The sequence below is a fragment of the Homo sapiens genome, chromosome 11 (assembly GCF_000001405.40).
Source record: "Homo sapiens chromosome 11, GRCh38.p14 Primary Assembly".
In the NCBI taxonomy this organism is placed as follows: Eukaryota; Metazoa; Chordata; class Mammalia; order Primates; family Hominidae; genus Homo; species Homo sapiens.
In genome coordinates this window covers 87,795,995-87,821,609 of record NC_000011.10, presented here as the reverse complement: position 1 = coordinate 87,821,609, position 25,615 = coordinate 87,795,995, and the positions used below count along the sequence as shown (strand labels likewise).

The window sequence follows — 25,615 nt, the reverse complement described above, 5'->3', positions numbered from 1 at the left end:
CCAAAGTGCTAGGATTACAGGCCTGAGCCACTGTGCCCAGCCTTCATTATACTTTATAAGCAGTGCTTGTTTAGACTTAGTCACAAATTTACTACTTTGCTTTGGCTTCTTGCAGTTACATTTGAGAAGAATTTTCTTCTGCCTTAAAAATATCCTTAAGAATTTTTTTATAGAGAGTCATTGCTGGTAAACTTAAGTTTTGTTCGTCTGAAAATTCCTTTGTTCCACTCTTGTTTTTCAGACATACTTCTAATGAGTGTAGAATTCTAGGCCAACAGTTATTTTCTCTCAATACATTGAACATATTATTCTAGCATCTGTGGTTGCTTCTGCAAAATCAACTCTTCTTGTATTACTACTTTCGAAGTAGTCTATCATTTCTGCCTGCCTGCTTTTAAAATGTGCTTTGTTCTTTATTTCCCTTGGTTTAAATATAATGTGCCCGGCTTTTTAAAAGTCCTACTTGTGATTTATTGGACTTAAAAAAAATGTGGATTGGACTTTTATTTCTGCTGGAAAATTCTCAGCCTAAACTCATTCCAATATTGCTTCTGTTCCTCCCTTTTCTCCTCTTGGAACCCTGATGATATGTATGTTGGATTGTCTTACTCCAACATCCATGTATCCTTGCTTCCCTTTTAAATATTCCATCTCATTGCTTCATACTAGTTTCAGATAATTTCTTTAGAACCATATTCTACTTTACTAAATTTTTATTCTTCTCTCTCTAATATGCTACAAAGCTACCTGTGCTATTTAAACTATTCCCAGTATGGTCACTGATTCTATTCCTTATTCACTATACATGTTTTTAAACTTTTTTTCTTTAAGCATATTAGAGAGTTATTTTATAATTTGGATCTGATTATTTTATTATGTGATGATTTTATAAAATTTTGTTTGCTGTTCTTTAATGCTGGTTCTTATTCACAGTACCTCATTTCCTAGTGAATTTAGTTCATTTTCATAAGCTTATTTTCCTTAGAGTTTCATGCATGAAAATCATTTGAGACCTGGGAAAAGGTGAAGACTGCCGAGTTTGATTTGCCTTTGATTTGCCAAATGTTGCCAATTCTTGACCACTCTGATTTAAATATGTGGCTTTGTTTCTTTTGAACCAGATGGTGAGATTATAGATTGAAAATCTGGGCAAGTACTATGTTAGGTTTCTCAATTTTCACACTGTCATTTTTCATTTGGAGCTCATTTTATTGTTATTAAAAGACAATTGTTTCTTCAGGACACTAAGAAAGATTTTATTGGTTTGTTTTGGCTCATCCTTATATTGAAGAGGTCCTTACACTCCCGAGGACCTAGTTTTGCCAGAGAAATCTACTTGGTTTCCTGCCTTTGGCAGACATCAGGCTTGGTTTCCTGTCTCTTTCACTCCATCAGTCCATGAAAACCGAAATGCAAGCTTACATGGTTTGGCAATTGTCCTTAGAGTGAACGCCAGCTGCAGAGCACTAAGAATAGCAATTAGTTCTTTGAGTTTCCATTCTTTATCAGTGCCTGATCTGAGAACTGCTTACTTCCCTGAGAGCTTATTAATAATGTAAACTTATTTTTAATATCTTATCCAGAATTTTTTAGGATATTTCAGCAGGAGGGTTGATCCATAAAATTGGCCTCCTGTATAACCAACCAATAGGAGCAGTCCTGCTGCTGCCCATAACACAGTATCTATCAATGTTGAATATATTTGCTTGTGTTTCTTTCTTCCTTAATAGGCTTAGAGCTTCTCGAAGATAGAGACTGTTTTTCATTTCAGTGCCTGGATTCTAATATGGATGGATATATATATATATACACACACACATATATACATATATATATATACACATATATATACATACACGTATATATATATATACACATATATATACATACACGTATATATATATATACACACACACACATATATATATATACACATATATATATATATATCCAAGAGATCCTAACTTGTAATTCAATTAACTGAGAGACAAAAGTTCAGGTACTTTTGAGAGTCTGTGTTCCTTTTTTGTGGCATAATCTACAGGGGAAATTAATTTTTAATGTAATTATTAAATCCAGTATATTACCTTATTGAAATTCTTGAGAAATACAAAGCAGTTGCCCTTTCAGCAAATGAACAAAAAACAATAAAAAAAAATCCTGTTATGTAACTTTGACTCCTCATTTTCTCGTTTTTCAGTGGCCTGTTGCTATGGAAATCTCTCCACACTATCTGCAGATATGAATCACACACTTGGTAGCACTACATCTGCAGTGCTGCAGTGAACCATATGGAGAATTTACTGCAGCCAAAGGAGTCAAGTAAAAACTCTCTCCACAGATGGATTCAGCACTTCAAAGGTTGAGGCAACTGTTCAATAGGTTACACTGCCTATTTCTCAGCAATACCAAAATTCAAAAAGGCATTTGTCCTAAAAGACTAGATACACAGGTCCTGAGCTGTCACTTGAAGTGGGTAGGCAAAGGGGCTGCTGTAAATAGAACTCCAACAGAAATCCGCAAACCTGAATTGGCAAACACAGTCTACCTATCAGAGTCGTCTGGTCTTCATTTGAATCCAGTTCATCACCAGTGTTATAGAATGCTACTAGTTTATAAATTTATAATTTTTTCCTTTAGCTCTTGAAAAATATGAAGGCTTGTTTCATAAGAATTATTTAACTTGTGAAAATTGAATGGATGAATGGTAAATCACAAATTGAGAAGTTAATTCTTGATGGGTCTGGAGTTACAGTTGATATGAGCAGATAATGGTTCCAATTTGTAGACCACCCATATATGCTATACCTTTATCTAAGTGTTTATATACATTATTTGATTTTATTTTTTAACATTCCTACAAAAATAAGTGTTATTAGCCCCATTTGACTGATCAAGAAAATAAATTTTTTTAAAAAAACTAGTAAGTCTGTCACTTATAGTTTGTAAGTGTTGTGAAATTTGGGTTTCATTCAAGTCTATCTGACCCTAATGCTTATTTTATTGCCACAATTAAAAATTTCTATTTGAGAGGTGTATGCATAGATCATGTGTCAAGCCTATGCTCTGGAGTCAGAGTGCCTGTATCCAAATTTTAGCTCTGTCTTTGATTATCCATGTAACTTCAGGGTACTTACTTAACCACTCTTCTGTTCAGTTTTCTCACCTCTAAAATGGAGGTAATAAAAATACTTACCTGGGAGGATTCTTGAGAAAATTAAATGACCTATTGCACAGGACCAGGAATAAGTGCCAAGTAAATCTCAATAGTGTTATTATCATCGTGTTCATTCATTTGTTTTAAAATATGGCATACTAGTTTGAGGAATATAAAAATTATGAATTGTTTTCCCTTTCTTTTAGGGCAGCATGTTTACTAGGGCAGTAGTTCCCAAACTAGTAGCAGCATCACCAGCTAGGAATTTTTTAGAAAAGCAAATTATCAAGCCTTATCCCAGATCTACTAAGAAAGAAACTCTGGAAATGGAGCTCCCGGCTATCTGTATTTTAACAAGACCTTCAGGTGATTCTGACAAATGCAAAGCTTGAGAAATAGTATGGGACAAAAGATTTTGTATCTTTCCTAGTTTTACACAAGGCCAGCTGTGCCCAAGGGATGCTTTTAGAACCAATCCTGGGGTGCTATGATTTTTCTAGTATCACTTCTCACACTTCGAATGGATGTTGCAATCACTTTGTTCCTTTGAGCCCATCTAATCACTAAGATTCTTGATTAATAGTTCATCTTTTTGCCTCGACTGCATTTGAGATGATCAATTACTTCATAATAATTTCCTCTTGTGTGGAATGACATGAAACACTGTGATTATCACAGCCATTAGAAGATACTACTGGAATTTTTCAGAGTTGATGCAGACAGAATATTTAAAGTGTCCCTAAAAGCAGACTAGTCTCTATTTTGCATAAAAATAATAACAATTAATGAAGTTTTTCCAATTGAGGAATATGTGAACCAACTTTTAAAGGCTTTATTTATCCTAAGTTTTACAATGTTTATTAAGGTTCATAAATAGAAAATGACATACTACCAAGCTTTCAGATAAGGCAGCTTCAATCCAGGAAGCAAGCTCATAAGAATGTATGTTAAACTATTTCAAGACAAAAAAATTAAGTTAGTATCGATTTATCAATATTTTAAACAAATGATGCTGCTTAAATGACTTAAATGAGTTTTAACCTAAGTCTTTCTTTAATCTATAAAACTACAGGATTGTTTCAATTGATCTCTTAAGATTCTTCTAACTGTAAGAAAAAAATATGGTACAATGAATACATTGAAAATTATCATTTACATTGAGTAATAAAATGTTTAAATCCTTCAGGAGTCTTTCTGGAGTGGAACCAGCTCTGACTAGGTAAAAGTTTAAAAGTTTTCAGCAAGGTCTTGTGGGAACACTACCGATTTGTATACCTTATAGCAGTTCCAGGAAGCTCTGACATTTAGCAGTTATGTAGAAGCTCCTGATTTGAACAGTTGGAAAATCCTAATTAGGTTGAAGGTGTTAGCTTATCTACCTAAATATCTTCATGTGATTTAAGGTCTATTAATATTGCCTACCTCATAAAATTAATCTAAGGATGACATAAGCTTATGAATGATAATAAACCTAATAATTGATTCATATAGAATGAGCTCCACAAAATGCTGTTATTGTTCTAGCACAGTGGTCTTCAAACTTTGTATGTATTAGAATCATCTGGAAGGGGTACCTGGTAAAAATATAGATTCTTAGCTTCCATCCCAGAAATAAAGTGGGTCACCCATATCTGCATTTTTACAAGCTCCCAGGATATTTAAAATACAGCATATTTTATGTATTATTAAGGGTTCTTCAGAAAAATAAAGTCTATAGGATACAGGATCTCCCTCTCTCTCTCTTTCTCTCTCTATACACACACACGTATGTATATATCTAGACCGAATTATTTCACAGTGGCAAAAGGAGAATGATATATATAGAGAGAGTTTTTTACCACCTCGCATTAGTAGCATATAACAATGAGGAGAGAGAGAGATCCTATAGATCATATATATTACCACCTGATCATATTCAATTATTCACCAAATTAACACCAGCTCTATTAATAATCCTAATAATAAAGCCCCTCAAATGTCAACACTTGATCCTCATGTTTCAGGATATTCCTTAATAGCCATTGCCACAGTATAGCCAATCAACCATTATACCTCCCAAATAAATTAAAAAGACTATTAGCCCCACAAAAGCCCCACCAAAATTTAACACAATACCACAACCCACAGCACCACAGTTAACACTAGACCCCCACAAATAGAAGGTTTTGAAGAAAAACCTACAAACCTTATAACGAAAAGAATACTTAATAAAAATAAAGGATATGCCATTATTGCTACATGGACTATAACCATGACTAATGGTATGAAAAACCATCATTGTACTTCAAGAACACTAATGACCAAAATATGCAAAACGCATCCGCTAATAAAAATGATCAACTACTCATTTATTGATCTTCCCACACCATCTAACATCTCTACATGATGAAGCTTTGGCTCACTTCTTGGTGCCTGCTTAATTCTCCAAATCATTACAGGACTATTCCTGGCCATACACTATATATCAGATACCTCAACTGCCTTCTCTTCAGTCACTCATATTAGCCGAGATGTAAACTATGACTGAATAGTCCGCTATTTTCATGCTAACGGTGCTTCAATATTCTTCATCTGCCTCTTCCTACACATTTGGCCAAGGCTTATACTACAGGTCATTTATATTCCTAGAAACCTGAAACACTGGCATTATCCTCCTACTCACAACTATAGGAACCACATTCATAGGCTACATGCTCCCATGAGGCCAAATATTATCCTGAGGTGCTACAGTAATTACAAACCTACTATCACCCATCCCATATATTGGAACTGACCTTGTACAATGAATCTGAGGTGGATTCTCAGTTGATAAAGTCACCGTTACATGATTTTTACGCCTTCCATTTCATTTTACCCTTCATCATCACAGCTCTAGCAACTATTCAGCTTTTATTCTTACATGAAACATGATCTAACAATCCTTCACGGATCTCGGACAAAATCACTTTCCACCCCATTATACAATCCAAAGATATTCTAGGCTTAATTTTTCTCCTCCTCCTCTTAATAATTTTAGTACTATTTTCGCCTGATCTCCTGAATGACCGAGATAATTACAGTTTAGCCAGCCCCCTCAATACCCCACCCCACATTAAGCCAGAGTGATACTTTTTGTTTGCATACGCAATCTTACAATCCATCCCTAACAAACTAGGAGGTATACTAGCCCTTTGATCTCCCATTCTCATCTTAACAGTTATCTCTGTACTCTACATGTCTCAACAACAAAGCATAATATTCTATCCATGAAGTCAGTGCCTTTTCTGGATCTTAGTGGCTGACCTGTCACACTCACATGAATTGGAGGATAGCCTGTCAAATAACCTTTTGTTACTATTTGACAGACAGCATCCATTATGAACTTCTCTACCATCCTCACCCTATACCACTCACTGCCCTAATTGAAAATAAGCTACTTAAGGCCAGGCACGGTGGCTCACGCCTGTAATCCCAGCACTTTCAGAGGCCGAGGCGGGCGGATCACGAGGTCAGGAGATCCAGAACATCCTGGCTAATATGGTGAAACCCTGTCTCTACTAAAAATACAAAAAATTAGCCGGGCGCTGTGGTGGGTGCCTGTAGTCCCAGCTACTCGGGAGGCTGAGGCAGGAGAATGGCGTGAACCCCGGAGGCAGAGCTTGCGGTGAGCCGAGATAGTGCCACTGCAGTCAGGCTTCAGTGAAAGAGCGAGACTCTGTCTCAAAAAAAAAAAGAAAAAGAAAAAGAAAATAAGCTACTTAAATGAAACTGCCCTTGTAGTATAATTCAATGCTCTGGTCTTGTAAACCAGAAATGAAGAATTCCTCCCCAGGACAACTCAGGGAAAAAGCATTCCTGCTTCACCATCAACACCCAAAGCTGAAATTCTATTTAAACTATTCCCTGTACTTTCTTCAGCACACACTTTACCATGTCAGTATTAACCAACTAGCACTTATACATTAGTGCTTTTATGTACTTCATGCATTACTGCTAGTTGTACTGTAATTGCTTAATTGTACATAGTATATTTACATATAAAAGTGCATTAAAAGCTTAATCCACATGCATATAAGCACGTACTGAAAATCTCTTGATCAGCTATAATACATTCATGATGAACATCCATATAACAAACCTAGCTAACATGGACATTGACTCATACTAAAAATCCCTAGTATTACATAGTACATAAAATCATTCGTCGGACATAGCACATTATAGACAAGTTAATCCTCATCAACATGGATATCCCCTACCAAGCTTTAGTCTCTTAACCTACCATTCTCTGTGAAATCATCATCCCACTCGGGAGTACTACCCTCCTTGCTCTGGGCCCATAACACTTGGGGGTGTTGTCAATTATTCAAAGCAAGACCCTGAAAATGTCTAGATGGGTCTGCACAACCCCATAAACAAATAGGTTTGCTCCTGGCCTTTCTATTGACTCTTAGTAAGATTACACATGCAAGCATCCCTGCCCAGTGGAAATGCCCTCTAGATCACCTGAATCAAAAGGAGCAAGTACCAAGCATGCACAAATGCAGCTCAAAACACTTTGTTCAACCACACCCCCACGGGAAACAGCAGTGATAAATCTTTAGCAATAAACGAAAGTTTAACTAAGCTATACTAATATTTAGCATTGGTTAATTTTGTGCCAGCCACCACCGTCATACGATTAACCCAAGCTAACAGAACTTGGCATAAAGAGTGTTTAAGATCTACCCTCAATAAAGCTAAACTCTGTCTAAGTTGTAAAAAAACTCCAGCTGAAATAAAATATGGTACGAAAGTTGCTTTAATACCCTGAAGAGACAATAGGTAAGACCCAAACTGGGGTTAGATACCCCACTATGCTTAGTCCTAAACTCTAATAAATTAACAAAATCATTCACCAGAATACTATAAGCAACAGCATAAAACATCTGACAGAGATGTGTGTGTGTGTGTGTGTGTGTGTGTGTGTGTGTGATGTGTATGATGTATATGTGTGCATGCCTTTATTTTCTGAGTCACAGAAGATGAACTAGGGCTTTTTATCTGCTTATTTTTCTCTACTTTCCCTGTCTTGGTTATCTACCTCCTGAAAGGAGAGAAAGTAATCTTAACCTTGAACATGCCCAATTGATTTCGCCCTGGAACAGTTCTTTATCAACACACTGTATTATCTTAACGCCTGGGTACAATATGAAAAGAGCTGGGGAATCTTCTTCCTCCTTACCGCCTTCCAAAATTCATCACTTGAAATAAATCCTGTGAGGTTTCTCAAATGGTTATTTCTGTGGTTCTTATCAGACTGAAGGATATAAAATACCATCTGCATTCTCTTAGAATTAGGGTCCCTCCCAGAGACGCATTTCATTTTATTCCCTCTGTCTCCTCATTGCTATATACTACTAATGTGAAGTGGTAAAAAATCCTGTTTGGCTGTGGGTCATAAGAATCACTGGATCTTTCTTGATAAAAACAGGCATTTCTTGCTGTAAAATAACACTATTCATTCTCGGAGAATTTCTTTGGAATGTTGCCTTTCAATTTGTTTCTCATTCATTAAAAAAGGTGGAATCAGTGTTATAGTTCCCATCTTCAACAGGCCAATTTAGAATTTATGATAGGCTATATTTCTCTAATTTGTAAGGGATTAATTCACTGCTGACCTAAATTCCTTCACAGTGGCAAAAGGAGAATTGTTTCCAAGCAACCAGAAATTACTGACGTGAGGATTCAATCTTTCGGCGTTTTACACAAAAGCCAAGAAGTCTATTCTGCTGATCAGTTGAATAGAAGATACATGATGAGCAGTGTGGGACCTCTGCAAGACCAGTAAATCTGCTTAAGAGTCAAGCATACAGCCTGCGCCTGCAGTCAGGACCGTGCTTGTCTCCATTGGGAAACCATCACACAGGGCCCCATTTACTAAGAAATCCCAAAAGACTCTTCATAATATTCAGATTGAATATCAACAATATGTATACAAACCCTATTTCTCCAACCAAAACATACGACTACATGTCTCCTTCAGCCTTAGAAACTGAATGTGTTGACTTTTTTTCCTAGCCTCAAATTTTGTATATTTATAGAGCCAATAAGATGAAAGTGGACTCAGCCCAGTGTCCAACATGGCTTCAGAAGTGATTTAATCATCAGTAACAGAAGAGTAAAGTTGGCCTAAGGGCAATCAGAGCATCCCCAAGAATGACAAGGAAGGTTTTGTATTTAGCAAAACAAAAAGAGGCTTGAAAAAAAGAATGACACTAATCAGGTCATATCTATTCATTTTACAAATTATGAAATGAAGTTATTTGCCCAAGGTCAATGGTGGTAAAGTTGAGATACTAATTCCTAAATGTTGAGTTTTTCTCTGCTTCATAGTTAACAGCATCTTAACCTATTTGAAATTCTCTAGAAACCTCCAGGCTCATAGTATGACCTCTGGCAAAGCTTTTTGGAGCCAGATTGATCTGAATTTCCACAAGGATACAAAATGTATTCATTATGTAAGTGAAATAAACAACAGAAATTCAGATGGCTCACTAAAATTACTACCTGAAAAAGCTACTATTTGAAATTGTACACATTTCATTTTCTCCCCAATTTCAATCACTTTTCAACCATAAAAGATCACCAGGAAATTTCTTACATTTTTATAACTCTTATGTACTTAATATATAAAATATGAGTAATATGTATTTAAGGGAAGTTTTTAGAATTTTTCAAATAATAAATATAATCCCTGGTGACTTTTTCTTTCCCCTGGAATTTAAAAAGCAACACAATAAAAGGTTTAAGACAACCACAATGAGGGAACAATTATGAAGAGAAAAGAGGAAAAATAAATGTTCACCGTACAACTGAGAGCAGCAGCCCCTGAAAGATTCTACAGCAAAGAAAGTGGGTAAAGGAGTAAATATTCCAAATAGAGGGCCCTGCAAGCAAAAGAGGTACAGACCATAACGTGGTTCTTAAAAATAGGGATGGAAATCAGGCCTGAAGAGGTAAGAAGAGGCCAATTGTGTAGGTATTTTATATTCATGAATTTGTTACAGGTAGTTAGATAGGCATGAGCGTGGTTCCCCAATTATGACACTGCCTTTCTAACAATGATAATTCGGCAGCTGGCACCAGGGCACCTGGGAGAGACACTCTCTTGATGATCCACAGCTACTGACATTTTAGTGTTAACTGAATGCAGAGGCCAGGGAGAAGAAAATTCCTGGGCATGTGCTCTAAGAGGAAAAATGGTGAAGTGTGACTTCCAGGGACACTCCACTAGAAAAAGCCTCAGATGGGCATGTGTACAATTTCGTAGACACGCTGCGTGTGCTCAGTTCCCAGGGGTAAGGAGGGCACTGCACATGCAGGAAACCCAGCCTAAGGGAGAATCTTGGGAAAGAGGAGAGCCTACAAAGTCTTAGGATCAGAGTTAAACGCCCTCTTTTTGACATTCAGGTGCCCACTTGTGTCTCTTCAGGCAACTTTTCCTTTCTTTCCTGTTCTAAAGCCTTTTTAAAATAAACTTCCACTCCTGGTCTGAAACTCGCCTCAATCTCTTCTGCCTTATGCCCCTCAGCTGAATTCTTTCTTCTGAGGACGCAAGAATTGAAGTTGCTGCAGACATGTACGGATACACTGCTGTATCCACCGGTAAAAAGGTTTTTTTTTTTTTCCTTCTATTCATTGTGCTGTTGAAAATTTCAAGCAAGTAGGTGTATGACCCTATTTACATTTCAGAAAGAAAGATTTATGAGTAGACTCTATTTGCTATCTACATGTATGCTAATAGAACTTTGCCCCTACCACAGTGGAAAGAATGTAACCATTGGCTCATAGAATTATTAACAACAAAGTCACACCGTTAGGACCAGTTTTCCTCCACTTTTTGATTACTGGCTAACTTAAAATATATGGTACATATTCTTCCTTATTTTTTTACTGCATGATACCATGTATATGACATGTTGAATAACACAAAATAATAGGGATTATTGGTACATACAACATAGATGAATCTCGAAATAATTATCCTTAATGAAAGATGCCAAAGACAAGTTCACACTGTATGATTCCATTTTATAAAAGCTCTAGAGCTAGACATGGTGGTGCATGCCTATAGTCCCCGCTACTCAGGAAGCTGAGGTGAGAAGATCACTTATGCCCAGGAGTTCAAGTCAAGCCTGGGCAACATAGTAAGACCCCATCTCAAAAGAAAAATAATAAAAATCTAGATAATTGAAGCAAGTTTATAGTGATAGAAAGAGTGACAGTAGGTGTCTGGGGATATTTTCAACAAAAAATAGGAAAATAGAAGTAAAAAAAGAAAAAGTAAAGTCTACTTTCCCCTTATATCTCCTATCTCCTCTGTGTCTGTATGATAATAGACAATCCAATTTTTTTCAGAAATTTTGAAGTATTATTGGAAAAATGTTTCCCTTAGTTATTTTACATGTTTGAGAACTGACAGATAATGAAATTCATAGAATTTAAGAGTAGCTTATTCAGACAGCAATTTCAATTAATATCTGCTTTTTATTACTTTTAAATTCAAAAGAGATATAATATTTTGAAACTGGATAAATCTAATGTCAATCTTTTCTAGGTTATAAAGAATAGGAAAGAACTTGAAAAAAGAAACTATCAACATTATAATTGAAGTTATTTTATTTTCTGGATTTAATGGCCTCCAAATTGTTAAGCAAAAAACAAATTGAGGATAAAATGACAGAAAAATAAAACTAGCTTTGTGAATAAACCATTTATCTTCCCAAAACTTATTTTTTTTTCAGAGCTTTCAACTGTAGGTAATTTCTGCTTCCTCTGATTATTCTTTTAAAAATAGAACTACTGTCTTTGAGATTCAGGAAATGGAAAGATTGCCCAGGTTGAATAAGATTTTCTGTCTTTTCCCATGTGAATGTATGTCTTGATTTAGTATCAAAAGTCCTGATTCATATCAATTTTTCCTCAGGCTACACAAAGTGGTGATAAGCAGAAGTCAGAGACCGTGACTTGGCCTTGTGTTGCTGGAAGCGCAAGTTGGCAGAGCCACAGGTTGCAGCCCTGGCAAGATCAAGCAAAAGTTTCCTGTCTATCACATTTGAAAGTCTTTTTTCACATCTAGGACTGGGCATGTAGATTCTTTTGTAGTCTGGACAAATCAGTAGTTGTGCCATCTTTTGTTAGGATTTCTTGGCAAATCTTTTGTATCCTTTCTTTCAAAACTTCTATATCCTTATATTTTAGATGTGGCTCTTGTGAACAACATATAGCTGAATTTTGTCATTGTTTTATCCAAGCTGGCAATGTTTTTCTTTAAATTAGATCACTTTCTTCATTTACGTTAAATGAAATTACTTATATATGTGGATTTAAACCTAGGATCTTATTATGTGCTTTCTGTTTGTCATGCCAACTCTATGTTCCTTTTTCTCTCTCATATTTCCTTCTATTAAACTGACTTTTGGCAATTCCAATTCTTTCCCCTCTACCAATTTAGAGGCTATGTGCTCTATTTCTAATATTTTCATGGTTACTTTTTAACATGCATGTTTAATTTATGAAAATCGAATATTAATTGATACCTTTATTTTTACCCATGAAAATGCAAAGGAATTAGAATACTTTATCATCCCTCCTGATATATGTATTTTTGTATTTTATTTTTTATCTTTTTAACTTTATAGACAAAATTGTATGTATTTATCAAGTAAAACATGATGTTTGAAATATACAGTTTACTGAAATATACATTACATTGTATTATGGCTAAAGTAAGCTAATTAACATATGCTTTATTTCATGCAATGAAAACACTTAAAATCTACTCTCTTAGACACCGTGTTCTACCTCAGATCTCTTGAAATTATTCCTCCTAGCAAACTCAAATTTTGTAATCTTTGAGTAACATCTTCCCAACTCCCTTAATGACCATCACGTCCACTCCTGGTGACCATCATTCTTCTTCCTTCTTCTATGAGATCAACATTTTTACATGTCACATATGAGTGAGATCATGAGGTATTTGTCTTCCTAAGCCTAACATAATATCCTTGAGGTTCATCCATTTTGTCACAAATAACAGGATATTTTCTTTTTTATGGTGGAATAGTATTTCATTGTATATATACATCACATTTTCTTTATCCTTTCATCTGTTAGTGGACACTTAGGTTGATTTCATATCATGGCTATTGTGAAAAACACTGCACTAAACATGGGAGCTTAGATATCTCTTCAATATTCTAGCTTCATTTCCTTTGGATATATACCCAATAGTGAGATTCCTCGATCATATGGTAGTTCTATATTTACTTATTTTTAGGAATCTTCATACTTTTTCTGTAATAACTGTACTACTTTATATTCCTACCAATAATGTGCAAGTGTGAAAATACCAAATTAAGGTTTGTCCATGAAAGGATGAGAGACTGGGGAGGTATATGTACACTCTGTAGCTGAGACTCTGCAACACACAGTTCCTCTCTGTCAACTGGCTCTGCCAATAGGACATGCCAGAGGGAGATAGATAGATAGGAAAAACAGACTTGTTTCTTCCTGTTATTTTTCTTCCTGTTCCTACTGGTGTAATCATAGCAGTGACTTTGTTCTTGACCCTAGTGAGAGCAGCTGTTTGGTCCACATTGCAGCTTTTCTATACTATCAGAACTACTCTCCTCAGAGATAACAGCACCAGCCATACATTACTCCTTCCCAAAGGTCTTCGTCACACCTTTGTGATTCCTCTTTTTCAAGTCTCTAAGATTTAATAATTCCATTCTCATTCATTTTTCCCTCAGGACTAGGACTGGTAGATATTTATGTCCTACCACCTACCATTATGATATTCATGTCCCTTTTGCTTTTTGTGTTCTGTCTACCTAGTTAACAAAAACAATTTTTATATTAAATTTTATGTGTTAAAATAGTCAGCATGGTTTATGTCTTGAATGGTCCCTGACTGAAACAGAACTACTTTTACCCTTGAGATATTTATAGATCCAGTGAAGACAGCGTAGCTGTGCTATGCTTTTTCCAGCCATAAAGAACAAAGCCATAGGCCTGTCAAACTTTCGAACTCTGGTAAAATAATCCACTTTAATCTGGGACTTAGGGATGTCCTGTAAGTAAGTTACTCCTTGTATTAGGTCATCTGTGTCATGTGGAAAACTTTAAATCTCAAACTTTGTTTGTATTAGCATTTTGGAGTTTTGAAGAAAATATTTTCTATGCATCAGCAGTCCCCAACCTTTTCGGCACCAGAGACTGGTTTCATGGAAGACAATTTTTCCACAGATTTTTGTGGGGGATGGTCTTGGGATGAAATTGTTCCACCTGAGATCATCAGGCATTAGATTCTCAAACGGACTATGCAGTCTAGATCTCTTGCATACACAGCTCACAATAGAGTTCGCGCTCCTATGAGAATCTAATACCCCACTGATCTGACAGGAGGTGGAGCTCAGGCAGTGGTGCTCACTCACTTGCCACTCACCTCCTGGTGTGCAGCCTGGTTCCTAACAGGCTATAGTCTTGTACCAGTCCAGATCCAGAATTTCATTTGTCTCAAATATCTAGCCAGCCATCAGGGAAAATGGAATACCTGACTAAATGCCTTGTAAGATTTCAGGACTAAAAACATTTCATTGTTAGCAGTACATTCTTCACTCACTTGTTTTCTCTTTAAATCTTTGATAAGCTCAGTGCAACATTGATTAATAAACAATAAAATACTTGTCTTGATTTAAATATTTTACCTTACTCTGCCACTGTCATAAATATTTTTTTCAGTTATATCTGGTAGTATTTTAAAATATTTCAAAAAGGAAAACAAATAAAAAAATTAAGAATACAAATGAAACAGGATATAAATGCTTAGGAATTTTTTTCCCTAATTTCTGGCATTGATATAATAGCATGCTTCTATACTCTGAATGTTTGTAGGCCCCCAAAATTCATATGTTGAACCAGATATTCCCAATGTAACAGTATTAGAGAATGGAGCCTTTGAGAGATGATTAGGTCACAGGAACTCTGCCCTCATTAATAAGAGTAATGCCCTTATAAAAGAGACCTCAGGGAGCTCTTTCATCGTATGAGGATGTGGTAAGAAGGTGCCACCTATGAAGCAAAAACAGACCCTCACCAGACACTGAATCTGCTGGTGCCCTGATCTTGGATTGCTTAGCCTCTAGAACTGTAAGAGATTAAATTTCTCCCATTTACAAGCCATGAAGTTTATGGCATTTTTTAGAGCAGCCTGAATGGACTAAGCTGCATATCATGAAGTCTCTATCTTTTAAGAGAAGATCCTTTCTGTCAAAAAAACATATTCATAACTCTCTACAAATTTATCAGTTATCACACTTTAATTTTCTGTTTACTTGCTCTGATGGCTAATTTTATGTATCAACCTGACTAGGCTACAGTAGCCAGTTTTTGGTCAAACTTCAGTCTAGATGTTACTGTGAGGGTTATTTTTTTAGATCTGAATAACATTTAAATTAGTAGACTTTGAGTGAAGTAAATTATCTCCAATAACGTGGGGAGGCCCACTAAACCAGTTGAAGGCTTTAAGAGAAAAAGACTGAGGTCCCTAAGAAAGAAGAAATTCTACCTCTAGGCTGCCTTTTGACCTGAACTGCAGCATCAACTCTTTCCTGGTCTCTATCCTGGGTTTCCAACCTGCATGTGTATATCTGTATATATATACACACATATATGTATGTGTATATATGTATGTGTGTGTATATATGTGTGTGTATACACATATATGTATGTGTATATGTATATACACACATGCATGTATATATACACATACATAAATGTGTATATGTGTGTGTGTGTGTGTGTGCGTGTGTGTGTGTGTGTGTAGTGTTTTCTCTGTGGAACCCTGACTAAAATGCTTGCCAATCACTCCCTCCCTCTATCCTATGGTTCTTTTGTGAGCAGAGATTATATCTTCTCCAGTGTCTGCTACAATTCTGACATCTAGAGAGAGCTCAATAATATTTGTCAAGCAAATTAACAAAGGATAGCTATTAAGATGCCTGAGCATTTAGCCATCAGGAAAAAAAATGACATAGATAATATCTTCTAACATGAAAATGATAAAGAGAATAAAAATATAATATGTGTGTGTGTACCTGTGAATATGTGTATATGCATAGGTGTTTGTGTGTGTGTATAAACATAGATGTCCATAGATAGTTGCACATATGGATGGAAGTAAGAACAAAAGAAAAGGATATTATTAAATAAAAAGGAAGATTTTTAAAATGTTACCAAGCAGGCTCTTTCACACTCCAGATACACCAATGCTTCTTTGTACTACCCTTTTAACACCATTTAGGCAGAAAGTGAAAAGTAGCTTTTCAGTGCCCTCTGAGGGAGGGCATATATTGCTTAGAACACAGAGTCAAAATGTTGGCATTAAGTTCCAAAACAGGCTTTTAAAATTCATTGAAGAAGCAACAACCTTGAAAGCAGAGGTTTTCACAAGGCTGAGATATTGAGAGACAAACGACTTTTTTTGAATTCAAATTCAAAGGCGGAAAGTTTAAGCTAAAAATGATAACACTGAGAAAAATCATGACAATTGTAACAGTTTTGTTTACATGGAATGAAGAAATAAAATCATTTCATCATTAGAGGAGTATTTTTATCATGTAAACAGAAAATGGAGCAATATAGTAAGTGACTTATGGATTATATAGAAATAATTCATGGCCTTCAACTTTGAAGTATACAGCAGATATCCCAGCAGAAGGAGATGATGGAATTCCCAGATAAGTTTTGGAGGGCACCATAAGAAAGGTATTTCTTGCCTTACTTCCGAGACTGAAAACCCTGTAGAGAAGCTAACTGTCTGGTGAGGTTATGCACAATAAGATTAAAAAAAAAAATCTGAGTGGAATACCTAGGCAGATGGGCCTAAGACCATCAGCAAAATTTAAGTCCTCACAGGGTTGTATAAAATCTTCCTGTCCTATGTCCCAGGGAGAAGCACAAAGGCTGAAGAGGCAGAATGTGGGCTGTTGACCAGTGATCATGGTGAAAACAAGATACCTCAGCAGGTGTCAGTGTATGCAGGCAAATGCCCTAAGACTAGTGCTGAAGACACCCACAGAGAACAGAGGACAATGATGGGCCAGATACCTTGATCTAGTTAATGCTAGGACAATGCATACACCCACTGCCTCTACCCAACTCAGCATTTAGATTACTCATTGGAGAGAGGTAGAAAGTAAAGAAAGTAAAAACAAAGGGGAAACCCCTCAATTAGACTATTTTCCTAAAGAAGACAAATAAATGTCTGCAAATGACTCAATTTACCTGGATGTAAATATACCAAGAAATTTGCTATTTACCAAAAGGAAGAGTTAAACCTAGTTGGTTCAGTTACAAAACAATAAAATCACGGTTTTGGTCACCCAAGTTGCATCAGAGTGAAAAATTCAGACCTGGCATATGCATATGTGGAAGTACACACATTCACTCAGTCACAGTGTGCAAAGTAACTATCAGATCAAAGAGAAAGAGAAAGTATGGCTCTCAAGGGCAGGGCATGGGCCACAGAAAGTTATTCTCAGGCCTTGGGGCCTAACGGAATTTGCTTTGCTGAGTTTTGAACTTGCTTGGGACAAATGACCCTTTATTCCTTCCATCTTCTCCTTTTCACGATGTCAGTGTCTATCCTATGCCTGCCCTACCACTGTATCTTGGAAGCAGATACTTGTTTTGTAGTTTCACAGGTCTGTGAATGAAGAGCAATTTTGCCTCATAATGGACCATATCCTGAGTTTCACTCATTTCTGATTCTAATAATTGAGATAATTAAATTGAAACTTTTTGAGCTGATATTTACAGAAAATTTGAAACTTACCATTAATACTAGAATGGATCCATACTTTGGATGACATAGGACTGGGGTGAATATAACTTGCATGTGGGATGAATGAGAATCTGGGGGACAGATGGTAAACTGCAGTGTGTCAAATAGTGTCCCACAAAATCTTATGCCCATCTAGAACTTCAGAATGTGACTTTATTTGGAAATAAAGTCTTTATGGATGTGACAAGTTAAGAGGGGGTCATACTGGGATAGGATGGCCCTAAATCCAATGTGATTGGTGCCCCTATAAAAAGGAGGAGAGGCAGAAACACTGACACACATACTCAGAGGGAAGATGGATGTGTGAAGGCAAAGGCAAAAATTGGAAAGATGCAGCTGAAAGCAAAGGAAAGCCAGGGATTGCTGGCAACCACCAGCAGCTAGGAAGAAGCAGGGAAGGATTCTTCCCTAGAGCCTTCAACTTTGCTGACACCTTGATTTCAAGGTTAGAATGTAATATAATAAATGTCTGTTGTTTTAAGACACCAAATTTTTTATTTACCATGCAGCCTTAGGAAACTGATACAACTACTAAATGTATACAGGTTTTTGTATGAACACAGTTTTTGCTATTCTGGGGTATATACTTAATTCTGGAATTATTGTTATATTTTATGTGTATATTTAACTTTAAGAAAAACGGTACTATTTTTCCAAGAGATGATACACTTTTACATCACCAATACCAGCTTTGTGTGTGAGTCTCAATTTCTCCTCTTCATTTCCAACACTTCTTATTTTAGTCATTTTAATTTTAGCCATTTAAATGGATATGTACTGATATTCCATTGCGATTTTAATTTGCATCTCTGTGATTACTAATGATATTGAGCATCTTTTATGTCTTATTTTATATTTGTATATCTTCATTGGTGAAGTGTTTAATGAAATATTTTCATTTCTTTAAAATTAGGTTGTCTTCTTAATACAGATTTTTAAGTATTTCTTTTTAAATTTAATGTATTTTATCTTTCCTGTTTTCTTCTATTTTTCAGGTTTTTTATTGTTGTTGTTTTCCGTTTTTGGCTCAGGGAGTACATGTAGAGGATTACTACATGGGTAAATTGGGTGTTGCTAAGTTTTGGTGTACGAATGATCCTGTCAAGCAGTGAGCATAGTGCCCAGGACATAGTTTTTCAAACTTTGTCCTCCTCCATCTCTCTTCCCTCTAGTAATCCCCAGTATATATTGTTCCCATATTTATGACCATATGTACTCAATGTTTAGCTCCCACTAACAAATTAGAATATGCAGTATTTGGTTTTCTGTTTCTGTGTTGATTTACTTAGGATAATGGCTTCCAGCTGCATCCATGTTGCTGCAAAGAACAGGATTTATTTCTTTTTTATGGCTGCATAGTATTCCATGGTGTATCTGTGCCACATTTTCTTTTTCCAGTTCACTGTTGATGGGCATTTAGGTTAAATCCATGTCTTTGCTATTATGAATACATCTGTAATGAACACATGACTGCATGTGACTTTTTACCAGAAAGATTTATTTTCCTTTGAGCATATACCCAGTAATGGGATAGCTGGATCAAATGATAGTTCTGTTTTATATTCTTTGAGAAATCTCAAAACTATTTTCCACAGCGACTAAATTAATTTACATTCCCACCAACAGTGTGTAAGCATTTACTTTTCTCCACAGTCCCATTAACATCTGTTAGTTTTTACTTTTTCAATACTAGCCATTCTGACTGGTATGAGATGGTATCCCATTGTGGTTTTGATTTATGTTTTGCTGACGATTAGTGATTAGGAAAATTGTTTCTATATTTTTTGGCTGCATGTATGTCTTCTTTTGAGAAGTGTCTGTTCTTGTTTTATGTCCATTTTTTAATGGGGTTGTTTTTTACATGTTGATTTAAGATCCTTATGGATTCTGGATATTAGACCTTTGTCAGATGCATAGTTTAAGAATATGTTCTCCAGAGTGGCTGGCAAGATGGCCAAATAGGAACAACTCCAGTCTACAGCTCCCAGCGAGATCAACACAGAAAGTGGGTAATTTCTGCATTTCCAGCTGAGGTACCCAGCTCATCTCATTGGGAATGGTTAGAGGGCGCAGCACATGGAAAGGAAACTGAAGCAGGGTGGGGCGTCACCTGACCTGGGAAGTGTAAGGGGTCGGGGAACTCCCTCCCCTATGCAGGGGAAGTTGTGAGGGACTGTGCCATAACAAACAGTGCATTCTGGCCCAGATACTACACTTTTCCTGTGGTCTTCACAACCTGCACACCAGTAGATACCCTCGGATGCCTACACCAACAGGGCCCTGGGTTTCAAGCACAAAACTGGGAGGCCACTTTGGCAGACACTGAGCTAGCTGCAGGATATTTTCTTTTCATATCCCAGTGGCACCTTGAATGCCAGCAAGCCAGAACCATTCACTCCCCTGGAAAGTGGGCTGAAGCCAGGGAGCCAAGTGGTCTAGCTCAGCAGATCCCATTCGCATGGAACCCAGCCAGCTAAGATCCACCGGCTTGAAATTCTCACTGCCAGAACAGCAGTCTGAAGCTGACCTGGGATGCTCGAGCTTGGTGGGGGGAGGGCCATGCACCATTACTGAAGCTTGAGTAGGTGGTTTTCCCCTCACAGTATAAACAAAGCCACTGGGAAGTTCGAACTTGGTGGGGCCTACCACAGCTTGGCAAAGCCGCTGTAGCCAGACTGCCTCTCTACCTTCCTCCCCTCTAGGCAGAGCATCTCTTAAAGAAAGACAGCAGCCTCGGTCAGGGGCTTATGGATAAAAATCCTATCTCCCTGAGACAGAGCACCTGGGGGAAGGGGTGGCTGTGGGCACAGCTTCAGCCGACTTAAACATTCCTGCCTGCCAGCTCTGAAGACAGCAATGGATCCCCCAGAACAGCGCTCGAGCTCTGCTAAGGGACAGACTGCCTCTTCAAGTGGGTCCCTGAGACCCATGCTTCCTGACTTGGAGACATCTCCCAGCAGGATCGACAGAAACCTCATAAAGGAGAGCTCCACCTGGCATCTGGTGGGTGCCCCTCTGGGACAAAGCTTCCAGAGGAAGGAACAGGCGGCAATTTTCGCTGTTCTGCTGCCTCCACTGGTGATACCCAGGCAGACAGGGTCTGGAGTGAACCTCCAGCAAACTCCAGCAGACCTGCAGCAGAGGGGACTGACTGTTAGAAAGAAAACTAACAAGCAGAAAAGAATAGCATCAACATCAATAAAAAGGGACGTCCACAAAAAAACCCCATCCGAAGTCACCAACATCAAAGACCAAAGGTAGATGAATCCACAAAGATGAGAAAAAACCAACCCAAAAAGGCTGAAAATTCCAAAAACCAGATGACTCTTCTCCTCCAAAGGATCATAACTCCTCTCCAGCAAGGGAACAAAACTGGACAGAGAATGAGTTTGATGAATTGACAGAAGTAGGCTTCAGAAGGTGGGTAATAACAAACTCCTCCAAGCTAACGGAGCATGTTTTAATCTAATGCAAGGCAGCTAAGAGCCTTGAAAAAAGGTTACAGGGATTGCTAACTGCAATAATCAGTTTAGAGAAGAACACAAATGACCTGATGGAGCTGAAAAGCAGAGCACGAGAAATTCGTGAAGCATTCACAAGTATCAATAGCTGAATCAATCAAGTGGAAGAAAGATATCAGAGACTGAAGATCAACTTAATGAAATAAAGCATGAAGACAAGATTAGAGAAAACAATGAAAAGGAGTGAACAAAGCCTCCAAGAAATATGGCACTATGTGAAAAGACCAAACCTACATATGATTGGTGTACCTGAAAGTGCTGGGGAGAATGGAACCAAGTTGGAAAACACTCTTCAGGATATAATCCAGGAGAACTTCCCCAACCTAGCAAGACAGGCCAACATTCAAATTCAGGAAATACAGAGAACACCTCAAAGATAATCCTCAAGAAGAGCAACCCCAAGACACATAATCATCAGATTCACCAAGGCTGAAATGAAGGAAAAAATCTTAAGGGCAACCAAAGAGAAAGGTCAGGTTTCCCACAAAGGGAAGCCCATCAGACTAACAGTGGATCTCCCTGCAGAAACCCTACAAGCCAGAAGAGAGTGGGGGCCAATATTCAACATTCTTAAAGGAAAGAATTTTCAAACCAGAATTTCATATCCAGCCAAACTAAGCTTCATAAGCGAAGGAGAAATAAAATCCTTTACAGACAAACAAATGCTGAGAGATTTTGTCACCACCAGGCCCGCCTTACAAGAGCTCCTGAAGGAAGCACTAAACATGGAAAGAGAAAACTGGTACCAGCCACTGCAAAAACGTATCAAATTGTAAAGATCATTGACGCTATGAAGAAACTGAATCAACTAATGGGTAAAATAACCAGCTAGCATCATAATGACAGGATCAAATTCACACATAACAATATTAACCTTAAATGTAAATGGGCTAAATGCCCCCAATTAAAAGACACAGACTGGCAAATTGGATAAAGAGTCAAGACCCATTACTGTGCTGTATTCAGGAGACCCATCTCATGTGCAAAGACACACATAGACTCAAAAATAAAGGGATGGAGAAATATTTACCAAGAAAATGGGAAGCAAAAAAAAGCAAGGGTTGCAATCCTAGTCTCTGATAAAACAGACTTTAAACCAACAAAGATCAAAAGAGACAAAGAAGGGCATTACCTAACGGTAAAGGAATCAATGCAACAAGAACTAACTATCCTAAATATATATGCACCCAATACAGGAGCACCCAGATTCATAAAGGAAGTTCTTAGAGTCCAACAAAGAGACTTAGACTCCCACACAATAATAGTGGGAGACTTTAACACCCCACTCTCAATATTGGACAGATCAATGAGACAGAAAATTAACAAGGATATTCAGGACTTGAACTCAGCTCTGGACCAAGTGAACTTAATAGACATCTACAGAACTCTCCACCTCAAATCAACTGAATATACATTCTTCTCAGCACTACAGTGCACTTATTCTAAAATTGACCACATAATTGGAAGTAAAAGACTCCTCAGCAAATGCAAAAAAAAACAAATTACAACAAACTGTCTCTCAGACCACAGTGCAATCAAATTAGAACTCAGGATTAAGAAACTTTCTCGAAGCTGCACAACTACATGGAAACGGAACCACCTACTTCTGAATGACTACTGGGTAAATAAAGAAATTAGGGCAGAAATAAGTAAGTTCTTTGAAACCAATGAAAACAAAGATACAATATAGCAGCATCTCTGGGACACAGCTAAAGAAGTCTTTAGAGGGAAATTTATGGCACTAAATGACCACAGGATAAAGTGGGAAAGATCTAAAATCTACACCCTAACATCACAATTAAAAGAACTAGAGAAGGAAGAGCAAACGAATTCAAAAGCCAGCAGAAAATAAGAAAAAACTGAAATCAGAGAAGAACCAAAGGAAATAGAGACACGTAAAACCTTTCAAAACATCAATGAATCCAGAAGGTGTTTTTTAGAAAAGATTAACAAAACAGACCACTAGCCAGACTAATAAAGAAAAGAGAGCAGAATCAAATAGACACAATAAAAATGATAAAGGCAATATCACCACTGATCCCACAGAAATACAAATTACCATAAGAGAATACTGTAAACACCACTACACAAATAAACTGGAAAATCTAGAAGAAATGGATAAATTCCTGGACACATACACCCTCCCAAGACTAAGCCAGGAAGAAATCAAATCCCTGAGAACACCAATAACAGGTTCTGAAATTGAGACAGTAATTAATAGCCTCCTGAGCAAAAAATACCCAGGACCAGATAGATTCACAGCTGAATTCTATCAGAGGTACAAAGAGGAGCTGGTACCTGCATCTATTGAGATAATCATGTGGTTTTTGTCTTTGGTTCTGTTTATATGCTGGATTATGTTTACTGATTTGCTTATGTTGAACAAGCCTTGCATCCCACGGATGAAGCCCACTTGATCTTGGTGGATACACTTTTTGATGTGCTGCTGGGTTCGGTTTGCCAGTATTTTATTGAGGATTTTTGCATTGGTGTTCATGAGGGATACTGGTCTAAAATTCTCTTTATTTGTTGTGTCTCTGCCAGGCTTTGGTATCAGGATGATGCTGGCCTCATAAAATGAGTTAGGAAGATTTCCCTCTTTTTCTATTGATTGGAATAGTTTCAGAAGAATGGTACCAGCTCCTCCTTGTAGCTCTGGTAGAATTCGGCTGTGAATCCGTCTGGTCCTGGACTTTTTTTGGTTGGTAGGCTATTGATTATTGCCTCAATTTCAAAGCCTGTTATTGGTCTATTCAGGGATTCAACTTTTTTCTGGTTTAGTCTTGGGAGGGAGTATGTGTCCAGGAATTTATCCATTTCTTCTAGATTTTCCAGTTTGTTTGTGTAGAGGTGTTTATAGTATTCTCTGATGGTAGTTTGTATTTCTGTGAGACCGGTGGTGATATCCCCTTCATCATTTTTTATTCCATGTATTTGATTCTTCTCTCTTTTGTTCTTTATTAGTCTTGCTAGCAGTTTATCAATTTTGTTGATCTTTTTAAAAAACCAGCTCCTGGATTCATTGATTTTTTGAAGGGTTTTTTGTGTCTCTATCTCCTTCAATTCTGCTCTGATCTTAGTTACTTCTTGCTTTCTGCTACCTTTTGAATGTGTTTGCTCTTGCTTCTCTAGTTCTTTCAATTGTGATGTAAGGGTGTCAATTTTAGATCTCTTTTGCTTTCTCTTGTGGGCATTTACTGCTATAAATTTCCCTCTACGCAATGCTCTAAATGTGTCCCAGAGATTCTGGTATATGGTGTCTTTGTTCTCGTTTGTTTCAAAGAACATCTTTATTTCTGCCTTCTTTTAATTATGTACCAAGTAGTCATTCAGGAGAGGGTTGCAGAAAAGGCCTTTGACAATATTCAACAGCCCTTCATGCTAAAAAACTCTCAATAAATTCGGCATTGATGGGACGTATCTCAAAATAATAAGAGCTATTTATGACAGACCCACAACCAATATAATACTGAATGCGCAAAAACTAGAAGCATTCCCTTTGAAAACTGGCACAAGACAGGGATGCCCTCTCTCACCACTCCTATTCAACATAGTGTTGGAAGTTCTGGCCAGGGCAATCAGGCAGGAAAAAGAAATAGAGGGTATTCAATTAAGAAAAGAGGAAGTCAAATTGTCTCTGTTTGCAGATGACATGATTGTATATTTACAAAAACCCATCTTCTCAGCCCCAAATCTCCTTAAGCTGATAAGCAACTTCAGCAAAGTCTCAGGATACAAAATCAATGTGCAAAAATCACAAGCATTCTTATACACCAATAACAGACAAACAGAGAGCCAAATCATGAGTGAACTCCCATTCACAATTGCTTCAAAGAGAATAAAATACTTAGGAATCCAACTTACAAGGGATGTGAAGGACCTCTTCAAGGAGAACTACAAACCACTGCTCAATGAAATAAAAGAGGATACAAACAAATGGAAGAACATTACATGCTCATGGACAGGAAGAATCAATATCATGAAAATGGCCATACTGCCCAAGGTAATTTATAGATTTAACGCCATCCTCATCAAGCTACCAATGACTTTCTGCACAGAATTGGAAAA

At 37.2% G+C, this 25,615-nt stretch overlaps 1 protein-coding gene, 1 long non-coding RNA gene and 1 pseudogene across 4 annotated transcripts in view; 2 read left to right on the top strand and 1 right to left on the bottom strand.

The window, feature by feature from the left end:
• Window positions 1-17,895, top strand: part of RAB38 (RAB38, member RAS oncogene family) — a 371,729-nt gene extending 353,834 nt beyond the window's left edge. Inside the window, exon 4 of one of the 2 annotated variants that reach the window (XM_017017456.3) lies at window positions 12,105-17,895. The gene's annotated coding sequence lies outside the window, so the exon portion shown is untranslated. Of the gene's footprint in view, window positions 1-2,200; window positions 2,924-12,104 lie in introns of those variants that run through there. The other variant, XM_017017455.3, reaches the window with a different exon arrangement.
• LOC107984361 (uncharacterized) overlaps window positions 1-25,615 on the bottom strand; it is a 552,293-nt gene that overhangs the window by 90,436 nt on the left and 436,242 nt on the right. The gene's annotated exons all lie outside the window — the stretch shown is intronic.
• Window positions 5,453-6,575, top strand: MTCYBP41 (MT-CYB pseudogene 41; annotated as a pseudogene).